At 48.2% G+C, this 24,599-nt stretch overlaps 1 protein-coding gene and 1 non-coding gene across 15 annotated transcripts in view, besides 1 other annotated feature; both read right to left on the bottom strand.

The window, feature by feature from the left end:
• Window positions 1-2,042: 2,042 nt before the first annotated feature.
• TMEM39B (transmembrane protein 39B) overlaps window positions 2,043-24,599 on the bottom strand; it is a 30,833-nt gene continuing 8,276 nt past the window's right edge. For 7 of the 14 annotated variants that reach the window (NM_001319677.2, NM_018056.4, NM_001319679.2 and 4 more), the window contains 4 exons: window positions 12,895-13,231; window positions 9,935-10,122; window positions 4,344-4,464; window positions 2,043-2,475 (listed from right to left, as the gene is read on the bottom strand). In NM_001319677.2, coding sequence (NP_001306606.1) covers window positions 2,233-2,475; window positions 4,344-4,464; window positions 9,935-10,122; window positions 12,895-13,231 — 889 coding nt within the window. In that variant the 3' untranslated portion in view covers window positions 2,043-2,232. Of the gene's footprint in view, window positions 4,166-4,343; window positions 4,616-9,143; window positions 9,247-9,934; window positions 10,123-12,894; window positions 13,235-24,599 lie in introns of those variants that run through there. The other 7 variants (XM_047423840.1, XM_006710725.5, XM_006710724.3 and 4 more) reach the window with 7 other exon arrangements.
• Window positions 12,615-13,140: an enhancer, noted in NCBI's record as "H3K4me1 hESC enhancer chr1:32557367-32557892 (GRCh37/hg19 assembly coordinates)". NCBI's record gives its function as "activates a minimal SCP1, AML or CMV promoter by ChIP-STARR-seq in primed H9 embryonic stem cells {active_cell/tissue: H9 hESC(primed)}" and the evidence as "EXISTENCE:reporter gene assay evidence [ECO:0000049][PMID:30033119]".
• MIR5585 (microRNA 5585) lies at window positions 17,899-17,957 on the bottom strand. Its single transcript, NR_049850.1, has one exon. It is a non-coding gene; the product is annotated as a microRNA 5585 (primary transcript).

The following is a 24,599-nucleotide window of genomic DNA, read 5'->3' as shown; positions in this document are numbered from 1 at the left end:
TTTTGCCATGTTGGCCAGGCTGGTGTTGAACTCCTGACCTCAGGTGATCCACCCGCCCCAGCCTCCCAAAGTGCTGGGATTACAGGCGTTAGCCACCGCGCCTGACTCTGAGAACTACTCGCTTTCAAGACTGAACTCAGCTATCAGCTCTTTGGGGAAGCCTGTCTTTCCAGATAGGGCACCTGTCCTCTCTGCTACTACAGGAAGAAATGGACACTAATTTTCCTTAGCATTTCACACCCAAATTTGCTCACAATGTGTGTCTCTCTCTCCTTGTCTATGGAAGGAACAGTATCTTCCTTATCTTTGTAACCATCCCAGTGTTCAGCACGGTGTCTGCCTCAGTAGAGGCACCAAAAATATTTGTTGAGGTGTGTGTCTCCCATATAGCATTGTGAGCTCGTCTGCATACCTTATGGCGAAGAAGGGCTCAGGGAACGTGGGCTGAATAGATGAGAATGGCTGAGTGTCCATGTTTCCTCTCCTTTCAGCCTGAACCCTCCATCCTATGCCCATAGGAGGCAGTGACCTACAAGCAGCTGTTTCTACTCTAGCACATGACCCTGCTCATACACCTTTGCTAGCCTAGGACTATTGGTCCTCCCTGATCCAGCCTCTGTTGACTTTTCCCATTCCACTTTTTTTTTAAATCATTCCTGCTCTAAGATCCACATTCTGTTTACCTTCCCCGAAACACACCAGGATGTTCCAAATCTATGTGCTACTGCATGTGCACTATTACATTTGCCTGCTTCTCTAACTGAAACACCCTTTTCCTCTCTTGTTCACCTAGGAAGTGGCTAATACAATTCAGACTATCCCCTCCTCCAAAAAGCCCAGAGAACATTAAGCATTCTCTCCCCTCTGCTCTGTTGTACCTTGTAACTGTTGGGCTCATCCCAGTGTAGTATTACTTGCTTGTTCCAGTGTCTTGGCATCCTCACCATCTACCATAATACCCAGCAAGGAGGGTCCCAGTGACTGCATGCTGAGATAATCAAGAAATCACATTCTGCCAGGATAGTAGTGTCATCTTTCAGAGGTTTTTTATTTTTATTTTTGAGACAGAGTTCTGCTCTTGTTGCCCAGGCTGGATCTTGGCTCAGTCTTGGCACTGCAAGATTGCAGTGGTGGGATCTTGGCTCACTGCAACCTCTGCCTCCTGGGTTCAAGCAATTCTCCTGCCTCAGCCTCCCGAGTAGCTGGGATTATAGGCATGCGCCACCCGCCATGGCTGGCTAATTTTGTATTTTTAGTAGACAGGGTTTCTCCATGTTCGTCAGACTGGTCTCAAACTCCTGACCTCAGGTGATCCACCTGCCTCGGCCTCCCAAAGTGTTGGGATTACAGGTGTGAGCCATGGCGCCCGGCCTTATTTTATTTTTTTTGAGACAGCATCTTGCTCTGTCACCCAGGCTGGAGTGTAATGGCGCGATCTCAGCTCACTGCAACCCCTGCCTCCAGGTTCAAGCGATTCTCGTGGCTCAGCCTTCCAAGTAGCTGGGACTACCGACATGCGCCACCACACCTGGCTAATTTTTATATTTTTAGTAGAGATGGGGTTTTGCCATCTTGGCCAGGCTGGTCTCGAACTCCTGGCTTTCAGTGATCTGCCCACCTCGGCCTCCCAAAGTGCTGGGATTACAGGCTTGAGCCACTGTGCCCGGCCTTTCAGAGGTTTTATGTCCAGCTCTACCACTTCCTAGCTGTGTTACTACGGGCAAGTCACTATAACTCTCTGAGCTCCAGTTCTTCATCCATTGGAGTGATAGCACTTTCCTCCTAGGGTTGTCATAAAAGTTAGATTAAGGCAAGGCCTGAAATACACACAGAGCAGCATCTGGCACACAGTGAGCATTCAGTTCGCAGTAGCTATCACTGCTCCCGTGGCCTCCAGTGCCTTCTCATCTCCTCTCTACTGAAGAAGGCAGTACCCACAGAGGCTTCAGAAGCCACATGTTGGGGCTTCCTAAACCAGAATCCCACACCTCTGTAATAGGTCTCACACACACGAAGGAAAAGAACCACAGGACACAGGCTTGTTGGGAGTATAAAAATAGGACTTTTTTCCTTATCACATCAATTATCAAAGAAACAGTACGTAACAAAAATACAAAGCTCTGGTGGATTTTTTTGTCTTTTGTCCCCCCCACCACCACTTCTACCCAACAGCCCCTTGCCAGGGAGCCCTTGGCTGAAGCCTGGACGCTGTCCCTGAGGTGACCCCAGGGCTCAGGAGAAACGGTGGTCCAGGTCTCTCTGGGGGCTAGCAGAGTATGAGTAGGCCTTGCCCAATACCAAGCGGTCCCGGAGCAGCTTGAAGAAGGCATAGTAGTTGCTGAAGAGGATGAGGGCCAGCGAGATGGTCTGGTGCCACTTTTCAGAGGACATTAGGGAGTACAGCTGATAGACAATGACAGCGCCCTCCAGCAGCAGGAGGATGTTGAGGATCCGCAGGGGTTTGCTGAAAAAGAACTGCCCGGAAGCGGGTGGGCATGGCTAAAAGGTGTGCTCCAGAAATCTTCCTCCTGGATGGGGGTTCTGGGTGGGCCAGTGAAGGGGACAGCCTCCTGGGGCCCCATGCAGACATGGGTGGGGAAGAAGACTTTCTGGGGTTGGATGTGGACTTTGCCACCTCATCTGCCTTTGCTTGTGGTATTCCTCCTGATAGGACTGCTGCTTCTGATGTAAGTCATCTAAGATCCTGTTCAACTTCTACCTCCCCTAGGAAGTCTTTCTTGACAGGTTCTGCTTGCTCTCTCAAACTCTTTTTGTGGTCTAAAGTCAACACCTTTAAAAAAATTTTTTTTAATTTTTGAAAACTTTTTCTCCCTCATCCACTGACCCTCAATAAAATCAACACCTTTTAATGTCATCTCCTGGGTATTGCTGGGCCTGAACAAATTAGAATCCTATGACATAGGCATGGAAAGTTATTACAGACTCTACAGCCTGAATTACCTACTACTTCATAGGTACATCCCTAGCTAGGCTGGAAGCTGCCAAGGGACATGGCAACAGCTCACTCTCAACAGCAAGGTAGAACGTAGGGACTAAAAAAAAATCTCTGATGAGTTCAAAAGAGTGCACAGTGTCTAGGGATTTTGATTCCACAGGGGCCAAGGTACCTAAATCTCAAGAGCTGCTTACAGGACAGGAGAAGTGGTAGGAAATGGGAGGCCAAGAGACCAGGATATCAGGCTCAGCTCTGCACCTAACAGGCTGCAATACTTTGGTCAAGTCCCTTTCCTCTCTGGGGCTTGGATGTCTCAACTGTGAAATGAAGACATCAGTCTAGGTCAGTGATTTCTCATGCTGTGTTCCTTAGAGCCCCAGGTTTCAAGGGGATCCTTTAGGAGTTACAGCGGGGGTGAGCAGGAAGTGAAGGGGGTTCTAACTCCTCCAAACAGAGCAGTGCCAGGATGTCCCATATATTGGATTTTGGCCTCTGATTGTTTTTTTTAAAAAAGGGGGGGAGGGGATTTCATAGTGAAATTTAAAAAAAAATAGAGATCACTAGTTTAGATAATTTTGAGCAGCCCTTTCCATAGCTAAGTCATGAGTCATTACCATTAGGTTCTCAAGTTTCCCAAGAAGGCACCCTTTAACAAGTTAAACTCTCTTAGCTGATTTCAGTATCTAAAAACAGAGATAACCCTAGCATATCTTTCACGTACAAGGTTCAGGGTAAGGCTGAGTAGGAAGGTACATGGAGAGTGCTTAACGACATGCCTGGCACACAGTAACAAATGAAGACAGTATTGTCTTTCACTGCCAAGAGCCCCTTCTTTTACTGTATCATCTTCTCTCCCTCTGTCCAATGTTCTCAAAGATCTACAACCAAATGAGCTGCAGTTATTTATTTATTTATTTTTGAGAATGAGTCTTGCTCTGTTGCCCAGGCTGGAGTGCAGTGGCATGATCTCGGCTCACTGCAACCTCCGTCTCCTGAGTTCAAGTGGTTCTCCCTCCTCAGCCTCCCGAGTAGCTGGGATTACAGGCGCCCGCCACCATACCTGGCTAATTTTTGTATTTTTAGTGGAGACGAGGTTTCACCATGTTGACCAGGCTGGTCTGGTCTTGAACTCCTGACCTCAGGTGATCTGTCTGCCTTGGTCTCCCAAAGTGCTGGGATTACAGGCGTGAGCCACCATGCCCGGCCGAGCTGCAGTTATTAAGTGACAATTTATATGGCTGTCCTTGTGCTACATGTGTGCACTGTCTTCCTTTGGATTGGGGAAATACTGAAAATAGCTTTCTCTTGCAATGACATCACATTCCTGCCCTGCAGATCCTCCCACCCTCTCAGGCCCCAACCCTCCTTCCCCGGGGAGGAGACTCACATGGAAGCGGAAGTGGGAGACGTCAGAGGGGATAGCCACGTTGTAGTGGCCTACGGCTTTGTAGACGTTCTTGCTGTGCTTCACCAGCACGCCCTGCGGCCACATGCATTCTTCAGTCCACCTGGGGGCACAGTTCAATGGTGCCCCTTATCCCCAGCTCACCCACAAAAGGGATACCAGAAGAATGGGCAGGAGGGAATCACCAGGGCTCTACTCCCATTTCTATCACTTAGACACGCTGACTTTCCTTTTCTGGGTTTCAGTTGCCTCCTCTGTAAAATGGGGTAAGAATCATGAGGAATTCACTGTACTGTGAGTTAGGTGGTCTAGGGCTGACATTAATTACTAAGAGACTGTTGAGAGAACCCTTCTTCCTCTCTGGGTCCCTTTGCTTCATCTGGTCTCACCTCTTGCCTCCAAGTGGTCCACCACACAGTTGTCTGAGTGGTCTTTGTAAAATACTAAGCTCAGCCTGACCACCCTCTGCTTAAAACTCTTTGTGGGCTTTTTTTTTTGAGAATGAGTTTCGATCTTGTCGCCCAGACTGGAGTGCAGTGGCACAATCTTGGCTTACTGCAACCTCCGCCTCCCAGGTTCAAGCAATTCTCCTGCCTCAGCCTGAAGAGTAGCTGGGATTACAGGCATCTGCCACCATGCCCAGCTAATTTTTGTATTTTTAGTAGAGATGGAGTTTCACCATGTTGGCCAGGCTAGTCTCGAATTCTTGACGTCAGGTGATCTGTCCACCTCAGTCTCTCAAAGTGCTGGGATTACAGGCGTCAGCCACAGCGCCTGGTCCTGCTTAAAACCTTTTGAAGGCTTCCTAGTGCCCTTGGGGTCAAGGCCCCAAGGATTTGACATGGCCTCTGAGGTCTTGTGTGGCTTCCCACAACCCTCACCACACAGCTCATGCTGTTTCTCGTTCCTCCAGCACTCTGTACTGCTTCACGTCTCTCCCTAAGCTGCTCCCTCCAATTGGATTGCCCTTCCCAAAGCCTAATCCTTCTGGTAAGCTCTTCATCATCTTTCAAAACCCAGGTTCCTCCACAAAGCCTTTCTCAAACTCCCTAGAGTTTGACATCCTTTTATTTTTTTAAAAAAACTTTAAGTTCTAGGGTACATGTGTACAACATGCAGGTTTGTTACATATGTATACATGTGCCACATTGGTGTGCTGCACCCATTAACTCGTCATTTACATTAGGTATTTCTCTTAATGTTATCCCTCCCCCACCCCACCCCACCACAGGTCCTGGTGTATGATGTTCCCCACCTTGTGTCCAAGTGTTCTCATTGTTCAATTCCAACCTATGAGTGTTTTTTTTTTTTTGAGACAGAGTCTCACTCTGCCGCCCAGGCTGGAGTGCAGTGGCGCTCGGCTCACTGCAACCTCCACCTCCTGGGTTCAAGTGATTCTCCTGCCTCAGAACTATAGGCACCTGCCACCACGCCCGGCTAATTTTTCTGTATTTTTTGTAGAGACGGGGTTTCGCCATGTTGCCCAGGCTGGTCTCAAACTGCTGACCTCACGTGATCTGCCTGCCTTGGCCTCCCAAAGTGCTAGGATACAGGCAATGAGCCACCGTGCCTGGCCCATTTGGCATCCTTTAACTGTTCCCTGCATCTCCTGCTACTAGTCCACATTCCCCAATGCTGGTCATCTATTTATTTCCCATCTGTATACCTCACTAGGCTGAGAGCCCTTGAGCGGGAGGATCTAATCCATCCCTGTGTCCTCAGAGCATGCCGCAAGGCCTGGCACAGAGAGGCCCTAGTGAGCATGTGAATGAAATGCTAGGACCGGTGAGCTTTCTTTTTTTTTTTGAGACAGAGTCTCGCTCTTTCGCCTAGGCCAGACTGCAGTGGCGCTATCTCTATCTCGGCTCACTGCAAGCTCCGCCTCCTAGGTTCATGCCATTCTCCTGCTTCAGCCTCCTGAGTAGCTGGGACTACAGGCGCCCGCCACTGCGCCCAGCTAATTTTTTTGTATTTTTAGAAGAGACGGGGTTTCACCGTGTTAGCCAGGATGGCCTCGATCTCCTGACCTCGTGATCCGCCCGCCTTGGCCTCCCAAAGTGCTGGGATTACAGGCGTGAGCCACTGCACCTGGCCCAGTGAGCTTTCTTATAATGTCCTGTGAGATCTCCCAGGAATCCCAAGGGCCTGGACCAGAGGACTGCAAGTCACAGCCTGTAAGCAGCCCCCTTCTCAACCCAATGCTCTTGCCTTGCTGACTCACTCATTTAAAAAAAAAATAGTTGGCTGGGCACAGTGGCTCACACTTGTAATTCCAGCACTTTGGGGAGGCCGAGGGTGTGCAGATCACCTGAGGTCAGGAGTTCGAGACCAGCCTGGCCAACATGGTGAAACCCCGTCTCTACTAAAAATACAAAAAAAAATTAGCGGGGCATGGTGACACAGGCCTGTAATCCCAGCTACTCGGGAAGCTGAGGCAGGAGAATCGCTTGAACCCGGAAGGTGGAGGTTGCAGTGAGCCAAGATCGCAGCACTGCACTCCAACCTGGGCAACAAGAGCGAAACCCCGTCTCAAAAAACAAAAAAGAAAAGTTATTGTGCGACTCATAACATGAATGAACCTCACAAACAATATGCTGAATAAAAGAAGTTGGGGGCCGGGCACGGTGGCTCACGCCTGTAATCTCAGCACTTTGAGAGGCTGAGGCGGATGGATCATGAGGTCAGGAGATTGAGACCATGGTGAAACCCTGTCTCTACTAAAAATACAAAAAATTAGCCAGGTGCGGTGGCGGGCATCTGTAGTCCCAGCTACTCAGGAGGCTGACGCAGGAGAATGGTGTGAACCTGGGAGGCGGAGCTTGCAGTGAGCCGAGATCACACCACTGCACTCCAGCCTGGGCGACAGAGCGAGACTCCATCTCAAAAACAAACAAACAAAAAAAAGAAGTTGGGGCCGGGTGCAACAGCTCACGCCTATAATCCCAGTTCCACTTTGGGAGGCTGAGGCAGGCAGATCACGAGGTTGGGAGTTCGTGACCAGCCTGGCCAGCATGGTGAAACCCCATCTCTACTAAAAATACAAAAAATTAGTTGGGCATGGTGGCGCACGCCTGTAATCCCAGCTACTCGGGAGGCTGAGGCAGGAGAACTGCTTGAACCTGGGAGGCGGAAATTGCACTGAGCCAAGATCGCGCCACTGCACTCCAGCCTGGGTGACAGAGTGACACTCTGTAGCAAAAAAAAAAAAAAAGAAGAAGTTGGACACGATTTCATTTATATTAAGTTCTACAACAGGCAAAACTAACCTCTCGTGAAAGAAAACAGAAAGGTAGTTTGTCTTGGGGGAAGGATCACTGGGAAGGGCCATGAGGACATTTTCTGAAGGGCTGGAAATGTTCTATATCTTGAATGAGGGGTGGGTTACATGAGTATATATACCTTTATCAAAACTGAAAGAATTGTACCCTTTAAGATTTGTAGGCCAAGTGCAGTGGCTCATGCCTGTGATCCCAGCACTCTGGGAGGTCGAGGTGGGTGGATCGCTCGAGCCCATAAGCTCTAGACCAGCCTGGGCAACATGGCAAAACCTTGTCTCTACAAAAAAATACAAAAATTAGCTGGATGTGGTGGCATGCGCCTGTAATCCCAGCGACTTGGGAGCTGAGGTGGGAGGATCACCTGAGCCCAGGAGGTTGTGGCTGTAATGAGCTGTGATTGCACCACTGCACTCCAGCCTGGGAGACAGAGTGGGACCTTGTCTCAAAAAAAAAAAAGGATTGCACATTTCACTGTATGGAAATTTTACCTTAAAAAGAAAGGCCTAGGCCAAGTGTAGTGGCTCACTCCTGTAACCCCAGCACTTTGGGAGGCCAGGACGAGTGAATCACCTGAGGTCAGGAGTTTGAGACCAGCCTCGCTAACATGGTGAAACCCCATCTCTACTAAAAACGTAAAAATTAGCCGGGTGTGGTGGTGCACACCTGTAATCCCAGCTACTTGGGAGGCCCGAGGCAGGAGAATCGCTTGAATCCAGGAGGTGGAGATTGCAATGAGCCAAGATTGTGCCACTGCACTCCAGCCTGGGCAACAGAGCGTGACTCCATCTCAAAAAAAAAAAAAAAAAAAAAAAAAAGGCCAGAGGAGACAACTGAGTGCTAGACAGGCAAGGGCCCTGACCTTTGTGAACTTTTAGTCCTGAAATGACAGGCAGGTAACTAAGCAAACACAGTAGACAGCATTAAATGCAATGATTATGGTATTATGGGCCACTGAAAGGAGGGGCCCCTTATAGGGGAGGGGCACTGAACCCATTCTGGATGGTCAGGAAAGTGTTCCTGGAGGAAGCAAAGTGCTAAAGGATGAATAGGAGTTAATCAGGATAGAAAGAATGGAAAGACCATCCCAAGCAAAAGACACATCACATGCAAAATCCTGAAGGCACAAGTGCATAAAGCATATGAGGACCTGAGGAGATTTGCTTTGCTTTGCTGAAGAGCAGAGGATGGGTTGGGGCATGGTAAAAGATGAGGCAGAAACATCTGGCAGGACCCAGCTCATCATCTGGGAAGCCACGCGAAGGACCACGGTGAGCCATGGACAGGTATATCCTCATGTTCAGCTATGTTCTATCTTTCTATTCCTCCCACCCCTCAGAGCCCAAGGCTAAGCCAAGCCTCCTTTTGGCCCAATCAGCAATGCCCAGTCACTCTTCTGGACCTCCAGGACAGAGCCTGAAAGGGACCCTGACTGACATGCATGGCCAACACCAGGAGGCTTAGCTTCTATGGCCTTGCTTGCATCTCTGCTCCTTGGTGGGCCTACCTCTGCAAACCTGTCCTAGGGGCCTCCTCTCTGCCAAGCCTTGTCCTGGACCCAAGACTCAGATGTGCTTCCGAGGTGATCCTGGCCTTGAGGAGCTTCCAGTCTAATGGGGAAATACAGGCAGGAAAATTAGTATAATGGGGTGAAAAGTACTTTGGAAAAGGGCCCCTGAGCAGTGTGACTTCTGTGTCTGCTCTGGGTGCAGTGCCTTCTTGCAGCTAGGTCTCTTTTGCCCATCTCATCCTTCCCTGGCCAGGGTTCAGCATCAACTAGCACAGCACCACATCCTGGCACCAGGCTGATGACTCTAAAGCACACCTTGGCATGGGTCCCTCCACTGCTAAAAATCCTCTATCTCCGCTGGGCCTAAGTCAAAGTCCAAGCTCTTTTGCCTGGCACATCCACAGGCCTGGTATGGATTGGGTGGAAGTAAATGTCTGCTGAAAGAGTAGGTGACGTAATGACCCAGTGGATGAGTGAGCAGGTAAGAGAAGAGTGAAGCATGAGCAAGTAAGGCAATGAGTGAATAAACAGTCAGCAAAGAGAAAGTCAACAAGTCCATGAATTACCATCAGTCCCCTCCCATCTTCAGTACACTGCAAGTTACCCAAGGATAGGGAACATGTGTGTCAGGCCCCACCATACCCCACCCTGGACACCTGGCCTAATAATATACAAGACACGCTCAATAACTATTTGCTAACTAAATAAGTTAATCAGCGAGTGGACAAGTGACTCCAGATGCTGACCAGAAGGGCTGGGATTGGGTTGAGCAGGGTAGGGTGACTCACGGGTGCTGCAGCACGTTGGAGCACAGCGCTGGGTCCACCTTCTGCCAACAGCCCAGATGGGCGGCGGCCTTGTGCAGCAGGTCACAGTAGCTGGCAGGCAGCAGGTGCTGCATGAGGATCACGGAGGTGCTGATGGACACCAGCAGGAAGAGTTCACAGGACCAGCGCTTGTCATAGTAATGTGTGTTCTGGGGGTAGCAGAAGGTGGGTGAGGCCTGGGATCCCCATAATGGCCTCATTCCCTTTCCTTCCCTGATTCTACCTGACTGAGAGGTTAGGACAGTCCTGGGGAGACCTCAGAATAGCCTGAAACCAAGAATCAAACACCCAACAAACAAGGCTTAGGCCCTGTGCCCACTAGTTGGTTTTCTACAAGGAAATTTGCTCCCACTGCCCACCACTCTGAGCCAGAGAACAGGCTCTGGGGTCCAAGAGACCTGAATTCAAATCTGGGCTCTTTTGCTTATTTATGTGACATTGGGCTAGTCACTTACCTTCTCTGTGCTTTAGTTTCCTCATCTGTCAAATGAGGATAGAGCAACTACTAGGCCCAGCGCAGTGGCTCACACCTGTAATCCCGGCACTTTGGGAGGCCGAGGTGGGCAGATCACGAGATCAGGAGTTTGAGACCAGCCTGGCCAATATAGTGAAACCCTGTCTCTACTAAAAATACAAAAATTAGCCGGGCGTGGTGGCGTGTGCCTGTAGTCCCAGCTACTCAGGAGGCTGAGGCAGAAGAATAGCTTGAACCTGGGAGGCAGAGGTTGCAGTGAGCCAAGATCACAACACTGCACTCCAGCCTGGGCAACAGAGCAAGACTCCGCCTCAAAAAAAAAAAAAAAAAAAAAAAAAAAGGCCAGGCGCAGTGGCTCACACCTGTAATCCCAGCACTTTGGGAGGCCAAGGTGGGTGGATCACAAGGTCAGGAGATCGAGGCCATCCTGGCTAACACGGTGAAACCCCATCTCTACTAAAAATACAAAAAATTAGCCGGGCGTGGTGGCGGGCGCCTGTAGTCCCAGCTACTCAGGAGGCTGACGCAGAAGAATGGCGTGAACCCGGGAGGCGGAGCTTGCAGTGAGCCCAGATTGTGCCACTGTACTCCAGCCTGGGCAACAGAGCGAGACTCTGTCTCAAAAACAAAACAAAACAAAACAAAACAAAAAAAAAGCAACCATGAACCACCTCCAAGAGGCGCTAGGAGGATTGTAACACTTATGAAAGCTCCAGGCGTGTTACAGGTGCTCAAAAGACATTAAGGGCCGGGCGCAGTGGCTTACGCCTGTAACCTCAGCACTTTGGGAGGCTAAGTTGGGTGGATCACTTGAGGTCAGGAGTTCGAGACTGGCCTGGCCAATATAGCGAAACCCCGTCTCTACTAAAAATACAAAAATTAGCCGGGCATGGTGCTGCACACCTGTAGTCCCAGACATTCAGGAGGCTAAGGTAGGAGAATTGCTTGAACCCAGGAGGCAAAGGCTGCAGTGAGCCAAGATTGCGCCACTGCACTCCAGCCTGGGCCATAGAGCAAGACCTAGTCTTAAAAAAAAAAAAAAAAAAAAAAAAAAAAAAGGGCCGGGCTTGGTGGCTCATGGCTATAATTCCTGCACTTTGGGAGGCCGAGGTGGGTGGATCACCTGAGGTCAGGAGTTCAAGACCAGCCTGGCCAACATGATGAAACCCCGTCTCTACTAAAAATACAGAAATTAGTTGGGTGTGGTGGTGCTCGCCTGTAATCCCAGCTACTTGGGAGGCTGAGGCAGGAGAGTTGCTTGAACCTGGGAGGTGGAGGATGCAGTGAGCTAAGATCGCACCACTGCACTCCAGCCTGGGCGACAGAGCGAGACTCCGTCTAAAAAAAAAGAGAGATTAAGTTCTCTCAAGCCCACTGCAGCTTGCAGCTGAGGAGGTACCTTCCCAGGAGACTGAGAGGTTAGGACAAAGAGAGCACAGGCTTTTGGGATCACTCAAATCTGGATGAACACTGGCTTCCTTACTAAATGATAAAACCAGACATTGTGACATGTCTGTGTTACAACAGCTGCTGAAATACAAACTCACTAGTCTTTGTAATCAAGTATTACGAATAACAATGCCATGTCTCCCTCATTGGCTGGGTGACCTTGGACAGGTCACTTCCCTTCAGTGAGTCTAGTTCTCTGCACTCTAAAATGGACACAGGCTGGGGTGTGGTGGCTCATGCCTGTAATCCCAACACTTTGGGAGGCCAAGGTGGGCGGATCACTTGGGGCCAGGAGTTTGAGACCAGACTGGCCAACATCATGAAACCCCGTCTCTACTAAAAATACAAAAATTAGCTGGGCATGGTGGCACATGTCTATGATCCCAGCTACTTGGGAGGCTGATGCAGGAGAACTGCTTGAACCTGGGAGGTGGAGGTTGCAGTAAGCCGAGATCGTGCCACTGTACTCTAGCCTGGCCAACAGAATGAGACTCTGTCTCAAAAAAATAAAGTAAAATAAAAAATAAAAAAAGTAAAATAAAATGGACACAGGCTGGATGTAGTGGCTCACGCTTGTAATCCCAACACTTTGGGAAGCTGAGGCAGGAGGACCATTTAAGACTAGGAATTCTGAGACCAGCTTGGGCAGCATAGTGAGACTCCATCTCTATAAAAAATTTTAAAATTAGTTGGGCATGGTAGCTCATGCCTGCAGTCACAGCTACTCAAGAGGCTGAGACAGGAGGATCACTTGAGACCAGGAGGTTGAGGCTGCAGTGACCCATGATTGTGCCACTGCACTCCAGTGTAGGTGACAGAGCAAGACCCTGTCTCTAAAAATAAAAAATAAAATGGAGATAGTAGTCACTCCAGTCCTCCAGAGATGGGAAATCACATCAAAAACAGCATAGTTAGGCCAGCAGGAGAACTCACATCGGGCAGGCAGCAGGGTAAAGTCCCAGCTAGTCCCTTTCCCTCCCTGGCTTGAGGTACGCACCTTCACGAACCAGACAGGCACAAAGGCCACATAGTAGGCGCTCAGCATGGAGCTGACGAGCACTTCCTTCATGCGCCAGTTGAAGTCCATCTTGAGGAACTCCACCTCACTGCGGATGAGGCTGGGTGACAGGCAGCAGGCATGGGTGGGCATGGCGTCCGGGCCATACAGCTGTCTTGTGTGCTGCTTCCACGTCTCCCGCAGTGTCAGGAGGTAGTCCCGGCTCTTTGCCAGGCCACTGACCGCCTCCCGGGGCCCCATGGAGGCCATGTGGTTGAAGAGGCTTGTCTTGCGGAGGTCGCAATTCAGCTGCAGGAACGGAATGTACATCCCAAACCTGCTGGGGAAGACGGTGGTGAGGGAAGGCCTGCCCATGGGCCAGGATCCCAACTCTCAGCCACTGAGGGGATCTTCTTTCCTTCCTGGGCCTCAGCTCTCCTGGCTGCCCAGAGGGGAGAATTTACCAGTCCTTCCATCCATCCACCCTACCATCCAATGGCCAGTCACTCAGCACACGTATTACCACTCGGTACGTGCCAAGCACTAGGGGTATAGCAGAAATGCTGACACTGGGGCTACAGTAGGAAGCAAGAGACAAGTCCCTGCACTCGCAGCCTAGGGATGACTAACAGCAACAGCCCACATTCGCTGGGCTCGGCCTATGTTCCAGGCACTGTACCGAATGCTTTCAGGCAAACGCTTTTCTCATAACAACACTATTCATTAGGTGCTGTTATTTTGTCCCCTTTTCAGCTGAGGAAGCCTTGGCTCAGAAAGGTGAAGTAAATTCCCAAAGCTTACACATTAGTAAGGAAGTGATAGGGCAGGTGGGGGTGGGACTCAAAATCAGAACTGTTTGGTACCAAAGATCAAGGCACCTACTCAACAAATCATTATGAGTAATTAGTTAAAAGTGTACACAGAGGACAAGCACGGTAGCTCATGTCTGTAATCCCAGCACTTTGGGATGCCGACGTGGGAAGATCACGTGAGCCCAGGAGTTCAAGACCAGCCTGGGCAACATAGTGAGACCCCATCTCTACAAAACAAATTTAAAAATTAGGCAGGTATGGGCCAGGCGCAGTGGCTCACGCCTGTAATCCCAGCACTTTGGGAGGCTGAGGTGGGCGGATCACAGGGTAAGGAGATTGAGACCATCCTGGCTAACATGGTGAAACCCCGTCTCTACTAAAAAATACAAAAAATTAGCCGGGCGTGGTGGCGGGCGCCTGTAGTCCCAGCTACTCGGGAGGCTGAGGCAGGAGAATGGCGTGAACCCGGGAGGTGGAGCTTGCAGTGAGCCGAGATCGCGCCACTGCACTCCAGCCTGGGCGACAGAGCGAGACTCCGTCTCAAAAAACAAAAAAACAAAAAACAACAACAACAACAAAAAAAAATTAGGCAGGTATGGTGGTACATGCCTATAGTCCCAGCTACTCAGGCTGAGGTAGGAGGATCACCTGAACCTAGGAGGTTGAGGCTGCAGTGACCCATGATTGTGCCACTGCACTCTGGCCGGGCAGAGTAAGACTTTGTCTCAGAAAAAAAAAAATACACGCACAAGAGAGGTATAAGTAATGAGTTGTTATGGGTGCATATGAGAACAGCTCTTTAGTTTGCAGAGGGCGGTTCAGGAACAAATATGTATGTGTTTATTACGTACCAGGCACTGAAATGGGCCCTTGAACAGAACAAATCCTTTCCCCTGAGCAGCACCCTGAGAGCAGGGCTGGAGCTAATTATGTGTGTGGCTGCTATTGTATGCGGAGAAAACTAGATGGGCCCATAGTCTAGAAAAGTAATTATAAAAACTGAGTAAGTGCCATGCCCATCATAGTAGGGGCTTTTATAAATATTCCCTTTTTCAGCTTGGGGCCTCTCAATTTCCCCAGGTCCTCAGAATTACACACCCCCACAAGGGTTCCTGGGCTGCCCCCAGGAGTTAGGGCTGATCACAATGCTACATTTCTTTTCTTTTTTTTTGAGACAGAGTCTCACTCTGTTGCTCAGGCTGGAGTGCAGTGCCGCGATCTTAGCTCACTGCAACCTCCGCCTCCTGGGTTCAAGCGATTCTCCCACCTCAGTCTCCCGAGCAGCTGGGATTACAGGCACCCGCCATCATGCCCAGCTAATTTCTGTATTTTTGTAGAGATGGGGTTTCATGATGTTGGCCACGCTGGTCTTGAACTCCTGACCTCCACCCGCCTCAGCCTCCCAAAGTGCTGGGATTACAGGCGTCAGCTACTGCACCTGGCTGACAATGCTACATTTCAGGAGGCAGAGGTTGCAATGAGCCGAGATCACACCACTGCACTCCAGCCTGGGTAACAGAGTGAGACTCCATTTAAAAAAAAAAAAAAAATCTCCTTTTACTTTTTTCTGGGGGTCCCAAGAAGAAATATCTGAGTGTCCCTGGCAAGTCATTTAGCCTCCCTGAGTTTCTGTTTTCCAGTCTATAAAATAGGGATGCTACCATAATTGTGGTCAATTATACTGTACAGTCCGTAATATAAAAACAGAACTGTGGTCAAGAGCACAACCTTTAGGGTCAAACAGGCCTGGATCAAAATCCCAGCTCTGGGCTGGGTGTGGTGGTTCAAACCTGTAATCCCAGCACTTCGGGAGGCAGAGGTAGAGAAACTGCTTGAGCCATGAGATCAAGACCAGCCTGGGCAAGATGGCGAAACCCTTGTCTCTACAAAAAATACAAAAAGTAGCCAGACTACATGCCTATAGTTGCAGCTATTTGGGAGGTGGAGGTGGGAAGATCACCTGATCCTAGCGGGGTTCAAGGCTGCAATGAGCTGAGATCACACTACTGCACTCCAGCCTGGGTGACAGAATGAGACCCTGTCTAAAAAAAAAAAAAAAAAAAAAAAATTCCCAGCTCTGCCACTTACTAGCTCTGTGATTTATGGCAAGTTATTTAACCTCTATGAGCCTCAGTTTCCTTAACTTGCCCTAAATTACATAGCTTGTATTGATCCCACTCTCAGCAAGGTATTACACTAGTTTTCTCATAAATACTGTCTTTTAGTCCTACAACAACCCTTAGCATAGTTTCTGGCCCAGAATAGATGATCAATAGAATTTTGACTAGAAAAGGAAGAGGCCAGTGATTCTATGGGGACAGGAAAAAAGACTAAAATGGCATTCCCGAAATACTCTTCAGGGTATCTTGTGGTAATGAGGGGGCGGGGGCACCTATGTGAACATACAAAGGTCTCCAGCTTAAACTTAAAGAATCTCGCTGGCTTTGTCTCTAAGAAGGACTGCAGATAGGTCCTATGATCAATTAAATTATTTGGTGACAGACTGCTCTGACAGGTTAGAAGTTAGAAGCAGCTTCATATGCATGATAGCAGATTCCCTCCCACCTCCTCCACCCTACATGTGAGTCTATCAAAGTAGAAAATAAATCTGTATCAGAAAAAAAAAAAAAAAAAATGGGAGTGAGGGTCATCAGTGCACAAATGATTCTGACAAATTTAGAAAGCAGATGGAGACATGATGACAGACGAAGAAGCAGTCATGGTCTAGAGCATCGCTTTCCAACAGAAAGATGAGTCACATAATTTTTATTTTTATTTTTTTTGAGACGGAGTCTGGCTCTGTCACCCAGGCTGGAGGGCAGTGGCGAGACCTTGGCTCACTGCAAGCTCCGCCTCCCAGGTTCACACCATTCTCCTGCCTCAGCCTCCCGAGTAGCTGGGACTACAGGCGCCCGCCACTATACCCGACTAATTTTTTTGTATTTTTGGTAGAGACGGGGTTTCACCATGTTAGCCAAGATTGTCTCAATCTCCTGATCTCGTGATCGCCCACTTCGGCCGCCCAAAGTGCTGGGATTACAGGCATGAGCCACCGTGCCTGGCTTTTTTTTTTGGAGATGGAGTCTGGCTCTGTCACCCAGGCTGGAGTACAGTGGCGAGATCTCAGCTAACTGCAAGCTCCACCTCCCAGGTTCACGCCATTCTTCTGCCTCAGCCTCCTGAGTAGCCGGGACTACAGGCGCCCGCCACCAGAGTCACATAATTTAGCCACATTAAAAAACAGAAGAGATGGGCCAGGTGTGGTGGCTCATGCCTGTAATCCCAGCACTTAGGGAGGCTGAGGCGGATGGATCACGAGGTCAGGAGATTGAGACGATTCTGGCTAACACAGTAAAACCCGTCTCTACTAAAAATACAAAAAATTAGCCGGGCGTGGTGGCAGGCGCCTGTAGTCCCAGCTACTCGGGAGGCTGAGGCAGGAGAATGGTGTGAACCTGGGTGGCGGAGCTTGCAGTGAGCAGAGATTGTGCCACTGCACTCCAGCCTGGGTGACAGACTCCGTCTCAAAAAAAAAAGAAAAAAAAAAAGAGAGATGAAATTATTATTATTATTATTTTGAGACAGTTTCACTCTTGTCGCCCAGGTTGGAGTGCAGTGGCATGATCTCGGCTCACTGCAACCTCTGCCTCCCAGGTTCAAGCGATTCTCCTGCCTCAGCCTCCCTAGTAGCTGGGATTACAAGCATGCACCACCACGCCTGGCTAATTTTGTGTTTTTAGTAGAGACGGGGTTTTTCCATGTTGGTCAGGCTGGTCTCGAACTCCTGACCTCAGGTGATCCGCTCGCTTTGGCCTCCCAAAGTGCTGGGATTACAGGTGTGAGCCACCGCACCCGGCCTTTTTTTTTTTTTTTTTTTTTTGTGAGACGGAGTCTCACTCTGTGCCCCAGACTGGAGTACAGTCGTGCATTCTCGGCTCACTGCAACCTCCCCCTCCCGGGTTCAAGAGATTCTCCTGCATCAGCCTCCTGAAATTAATTTTAAGATTCTATTTTACTTAACCCAATACATGCAAATACTATCACTTCAACATATAATGAATATTTTGAGATGTTTTACTTTCTTTTTTTTAATTAAGACAGGGTCTTGCTGTGTTGCGCAGGCTGCTGGAGGGCAGTGGCATAATCATGGCTCACTGCAGCCTCTACCTCCTAGGCTCAGGTGCTGGCACACACCTGTAGTCCCAGCTATTCAGGAGCAATCCTCTGACCTCTCGAGTAGCTGGTACTTCAGGTGCGTGCCACCATGCCCAACTAATTTTTATATTTTCTGTAGAGACAGGGTTCTGCCATGTTGCCCAGACTGGTCTCAAGCTCCTGGGCCTGATCCACCCTGCCTTGGCCTCCCAAAGTGTTGGGATTACAGGTGTGAGCCACTGTGCCCAGCCTCAGTTTCTCTCTCTTTTTTTTTTTTTGAGACAGGGCCTGGCTCTGTTTCCCAGGCTAGAGTGCAGTGGTGCAATCTCAGTTTATTGCAACCTCCACCTCCCAGGCTCAAGCCATCCTCCCACCTCAGCCTCCAAAGTAGCTGGGACTACAGGTGCAGGCTACCATGCCCAGCTAATTTTTGTATTTTTGGTAGAGATGGCATTTTGCCAAGTTGCCCAGGCTGGTCTCAAACTCCTGAGCTCAAGCCATCCGCCTGCCTCAGTCTCTCAAAGTGCTGGGATTACAGGCATGGGCCACCATGCCCAGCCTACTTTCTTTTTTGTGTGTGTACTAAGGGTTCAGAATCGGTGTGTATTTTACACTTAGAGCACATCTCAACTCAGACTACCCTATTTCATGTGCTCAATAACCAGGGGGGCTAGTAGCTACTCAACTGGACGGTACAAGTCTAGAATATGGCATGAGCGAACTGGACTGGAGGTGGGAGCTTATCTACCCAGAGTGACCCAAGAGAGACTCTGCCTTGAAGTGGGCACATATGATAGAAGATGAAGTGGGGAGCAGGTATGAATAAATGGGATTAAACAATGACCTATGTTTATTTATAAGAGTCAGTCCCTTTATTCCCCTACTCACCTCATACAACACACCCTGAAGGATTCTTTTCTAAAGAAATTGAGTAAACTGAGAATTGAGGTCTCTAATGGCGATATCTTAGAGTAACACCCCCACCACTCCCTTTCTGGCCTACGGAGGCTCAAAGCCTAACAACCAGCACTTCACTCACTCATCCTCAAAGCAAAGCCTGCCAGTCAGTGTGCCCTGCCCATGTACTTAAAGTTTCCAGTCAAAGCTCTTACCCCCTTAAACAATGACAGAGAGAAAGAAACTGCACTCCTGCTACTCAGTCCTTCATTTTTACATATAAAGAGACAAGCAAACAAGCCAACTATACTTGGAAAACAAGCAGCATGAAACAGAAAAATTGACCCCAGTGAAAAGACAAAATTGAGGAAAATAAGGGAATTTTTTTTTTTTTTTTGAGACAGAGTCTCGCTCTGTTGCCCAGGCTGGAGTGCAGTGGCGCAATCTCAGCTCACTGCAACCTCCACCTCCCGGGTTCAAGCAATTCTCCTGCCTCAGTCTCCCGAGTAGCTGAGATTACAGGCATGCACCACCACACCCAGCTAATTTTTGTATTTTTAGTAGAGACAGGGTTTCACCATGTTGGCCAGGCTGGTCTTGAACTCCTGACCTTGTGATCCACCCACCTTGGCCTCCCAAAGTGCAGGGATTACTGGCGTGAGCCACCACGCCCAGCCAAATAAGAGATTTTTAAAACAAGAATAGTATGCTATGAGAAAAGAACAATCAGCAAACATAGAGGCCTTAGAGATGAAAAATATGATTGCTGAAAAAATCTCAGTAAAAAAGCTAGAAGATAAAGTTGAGGAAATCTCTCCAAAGGCAATGCACATACAAAGAGAGAGAGAGAGAGAGATTAAATATTAGAGAAATATAGGAGAAAAAGATGACCAATCTATGAGGTCTACCATCTGATGAACAGAAATCCAGAGATAATAGAAAAAATTAAAAGGAAGATATTATCAAAGAAATATCAAAGGAAAATTTCCCCAAGCTAAAGAAGTACTCAAATCTCCAGGTTAAAAAAGTCCTAGAGTCCTGAAAGGATGAATGACAAACGTCCCACAACAGACACATCCTTTGAAATTTCAAGTAATCAAAAGATAAACAGAATATTCCTCAATGCTTTCAGAAAGGAAAATACAAGTCATCTATAAAAGAATTGGAATCAAACTCAAACTGGCACCAGACTTCTCACTAGCAACACTGGATACTAGAGACAATGGAATAATAACTGCAAAAGTTCTGAGAATGTGAATTTGAACTTAGAAATCTACACTGAGACTGGGTGCGATGGCTCACACCTGTAATCCCAGCACTTTGGGAGGCTGAGGTGGGTGGGTCACGAGGTCAGGAGTTTGAGACCAGCCTGACCAACATGGTGAAACCCCGTCTCTACTAAAAATACAAAAATTAGCTGGGCATGGTGGCGTGCCTGTAATCCCAGCTACTCAGGAGGCTGAGGCAGGAGAATCACTTGAACTCGGGAGGCGGAGGTTGCAGTGAGCTGAGATCGTGTCATTGCACTCCACCCTGGGCGACAGAGCGAGACTCTGTCTCAAAAATAAAAAAACAAAAAAAAAGAAATCTACATTCAGCCAAACTATCAATCAAGTATGAGGGCAGAATAAACACACTTTTAGACATGCAAGGACTCATCTCCAACGTACCCATTGTTAAAGTAATTACCTGATAATTTACTCCAGCAAAATAAGAAAACCAAGAAAGAGGAAGACATGGGATTCAGGAAGCAGGGGGTCCAACCCAGGAGGGCAGCAAAGGGAAGTCCCAGGCTGAGAGCTGTACAGCAGACCTAAAGAGCAAACACTCCAGACTGCAGCAGGAGGAGGAAGGGCTCCAGGAGGGATGCCTTTGTAGGGGGAAGCAGGGAGAAGGAAATGGACTCCAGGCAACAGGCAGTATGACTGAGAGGCTGGATAAACTTGAGGATATGATGAAGGCTCATCATTCTTTTGTCAATAAGAAAAAAGAAAGGCAATTAGAAAGTCCAAGAAAAATAAAAAGCCATATAAGAAAGCTATGGTGTAAACATGAAGCAAACTAAAATGTGCTATGATTTTAAGTAACTGATAGAATGTAAGAAAAATCATTTCACCTTGACACTAGGAACATTTGTGTGTGTGTGTGTGTGTCTGTGTGTCTGAAACAGGGTCTTGCTCTATTGCCCACGCTGGAGTGCAGTGGAACAATCTCAGCTCACTGTAACCTCTGGCATTAGCTGGGCATGGTAGCCTGTACCTGTAGTCCCAGCTACTTGGGAGGCTGAGATGGGAGGATGGCTTGAGCCAGTGAGGCAGAGGTTGCAATAAACTGAGATTGCACCACTGCCTCCTGGGTTCAAGCGATTCTTATACCTTAGCCTCCTGAGTAGCTGGGAGTACAGGTCCTTTAAAGAAGTCCTTTAAGGCTGGGCACGGTGGCTCACACCTGTAATCCCAGCACTTTGGGAAGCTGAGATGGACGGATCACGAGGTCAGGAGATCGAGACCATCCTGACTAACACGGTGAAACCCCGTCTCTACTAAAAATACAAAAAATTAGCCAGGCGTGGTGGCGGGCGCGTGTAGTCCCAGCTACTCGGGAGGCTGAGGCAGGAAAATCGCTTGAAACTGGGAAGTGAAGGTTGCAGTGAGCCAAGATTGCACTATTCCACTCCAGCCTGGGCAACAACGGCGAATCTCCATCTCAAAAAAAAAAAAAAAAAAAAAAAAAAAAAAGAAGTCCTTTAAAAAAATGTTCCTGCCGGCCAGGCGTGGTAGCTCACACCTGTAATCCCAGCACTTTGGGAAGCTGAGGTGGGTGGATCACCTGAGGTCGGGAGTTCGAGACCAGCCTGACCAACATGGAGAAACCCCATCTCTACGGAAAATACAAAATTAGCTGGGCATGGTGGCGCATGCCTGTAATCCCAGCTACTCGGGAGCTGAGGGAGGAGAATCACTTGAACTTGGGAGGCGGAGGCTGCAGTGAGCAGAGATGGCGCCATTGCACACCAAGGCTGGGCAACAAGAGCAAAACTCCGTCTCAAAAAAAAAAAAAAAAAAAAAAAACCAGGCTGGGCGCGGTGGCTCACGCTTGTAATCCCAGCACTTTGGGAGGCTGAGGCGGGTGGATCACGAGGTCAGGAGATCGAGACCATCCTGGCTAACACGGTGAAACCCCGTCTCTACTAAACATACAAAAAACTAGCCAGGCGTGGTGGCGGGTGCCTGTAGTCCCAGCTACTCGGGAGGCTGAGGCTGGAGAATGGCGTGAACCCAGGAGGCAGAGCTTGCAGTGAGTTGAGATCGTGCCACTGCACTACAGCCTGGGCGACAGAGCGAGACTCCGTCTCAAAAAAAAACAAAAAACAAAAAACAAAAAAAGTTCCTGGCTGGGCTTGGTGGTTCATGCCTGTAATCCCAGCACTTTGGGAGGCCAAGATGAATGGATCACTTGAGGTTGGGAGTTCGAGACCAGCCTGGCAAACATGGCGAAACCCCATCTCTACTAAAAATACAAAAAATTAGCTGGGCGTGGTGGTGCACACCTGTAATCCCAGCTACTCGGGAGGTTGAGGCAGGAGAACTGCTTGAACCTGGGAGGCGGAGGTTGCAGTGAGCTGAGATTGTGACACTGCACTCCAGCCTGGGTGACAGAGAGAGACTCCATCTCAAAAAAAATAAAAATAAAAATAAATAAATAAAGAGGTCCAAGACTGTAACTCTGTAACTACAGAGAAGAAATGTCATGTATGCATACTACTGGGCCCTGGAGTGAATGATATTTTCATACACATAATTATATCAAAGCCACATACTGGTTTTTAATTTTCAGAATTAGGCTTAGACAAAGAATGGAAGGCTTAAATGTGGTTACATAGGAGAATGTGAATGTCAAGCTTGACGATATAAAAGTAAAAATACAGCTGCCAGGAAGTGAAAAGAGGAAGAGGGGAGGAAAAGTGGTTGGATAGGGTGCCTAATATTCTTGTCTTACATAAAAAGTATTCAAGATACTATTGTTGATGGAAAAAAAAAGTATAGGGATACTTATACTATTGATGAAAATAACCAACAGAAACTTAAAAATATTAAAAGCTATCAATTACTGGGAACAGTAAGGATGGGATCGTGAGCTAAATCATCTGTCATTGCAGGGAATCAATATACTTGCATATGTGTGTATGTGGTATGTTTGTATATGCGTAGAACATTTGTTTCCAGGATATACAAGAAACCAAAAACATTGATAATTACCTCTTGGAAAGGAAACTGGGTGGCTGGGAGGCAGCAGTCAAGGGGAGACTTTTTCATGGTATACTCTTTTAAACCTTCTGAATTTTAACTATGTAAACCTCTTATTCAATTCTAAAATAAATCAATAATTTTCTTTTTTTTGAGACAGAGTCTCACTCTATTGCCCAGGCTGGAGTGCAGTGGTGCAAACTCAGCTCGCTGCAACCTCCACCTCCCAGTTTCAAGCAATTCTCCTGCCTCAGCCTCCCAAGTAGCTGGGACTACAGGCGTGCACCACCACACCTGGCTAATTTTTGTATTTTTAGTAGAGAAAGGGTTTCACCATGATGGCCAGGCTGGTCTTGAACTCCTGACCTCAAGTGATCCATTCACCTTGGCCTTCCAAAGTGCTGGGATTACAAGCGTGAGCCACCACGCTTGGCCAATAAATAAATTTTTAAAAAGAATAAGCAGGCTAGGTACAGTGGCTGATGCCTGTAGTTCCAACTACTCAGAAGGCTGAAGTGGGAGGACGGCTTGAGCCTGGGAGGCAGAGGTTGCAGTGAGCCGAGATTGCACCACTGCACTCCAGCCTGGGCAACAGAGCCAGACCCTGACTCAGGGTCTTGTCACTCAGGCTGGAGTGCAGTGCCACTTTAGAACTGGATAATAGGTTTACAGACTCTGTCTGTAAACAAACAAACAAACAAACAAACAAATAAAAAAACCCAGAAAGTAAAAGAGACTGCTATTGAAGAGTGGGACTAAAAATCTGGAGGCGGGATTGGAGACTAATGTTTTTCTATGAAGAGTGGGACTAAAAATCTGGAGGCGGGATTGGAGACTAATGTTTTTCTATTTATTTATTTATTTATTTTTAGAGACAGGGTCTCACTCTGTTGTCCACGCTGAAGTGCACTGGTGTGATCATGGCTCACTTCGGCCTCAAATCCACCAGCTAAAGCAATCTTCTCACCTCAGCCTCCCAAGTCACTGAGATCACAGGCATGAGCTACCGTGCCCAGCAATGGTTTTCATTATAAGCTTTTCAGCACTATTGGATTTAATTTTTTACAATATGTTTATATTTGGTCAATAAACATTTTTAAATTAAATAATGAAAAATAAAGCATAATATGACATTGGGTGTTATCTGCATCCATGAAGAAAAGATTCACCAGGTAGTAACCATAAACTGTCAAATTAAGGCAACTCTTTTTTTTTTTTTTTTTTTTGAGACAGAGTCTCACTCTGTTGCCCAGGCTGGAGTGCAGTGGTGCAGTGGTGCGATCTTGGCTCACTGCAAGCTCCGCCTCCCAGGTTCACACCATTCTCCTGCCTCAGCCTCCCGAGTAGCTGGGACTGCAAGTGCCATCCACCATGCCCGGCTAGTTTTTTGTATTTTTTTAGTAGAGACGGGGTTTCACTGTGTTAGCCAGGATGGTCTCAATCTCCTGACCTCGTGATCCACCCGCCTCAGCCTCCCAAAGTGCTGGGATTACAGGCATGAGCCACCGCGTCCGACAGGCAACTCTTAAGTTCTAACCAGTGCAACCCTTTCGAAGGACAATTTGTTAATAACTATGAAAAATCTAAATGAATC

This window comes from Homo sapiens, chromosome 1, assembly GCF_000001405.40.
Source record: "Homo sapiens chromosome 1, GRCh38.p14 Primary Assembly".
NCBI lineage: Eukaryota > Metazoa > Chordata > Mammalia > Primates > Hominidae > Homo > Homo sapiens.
This window is presented reverse-complemented; position numbering and strand designations above follow the sequence as displayed.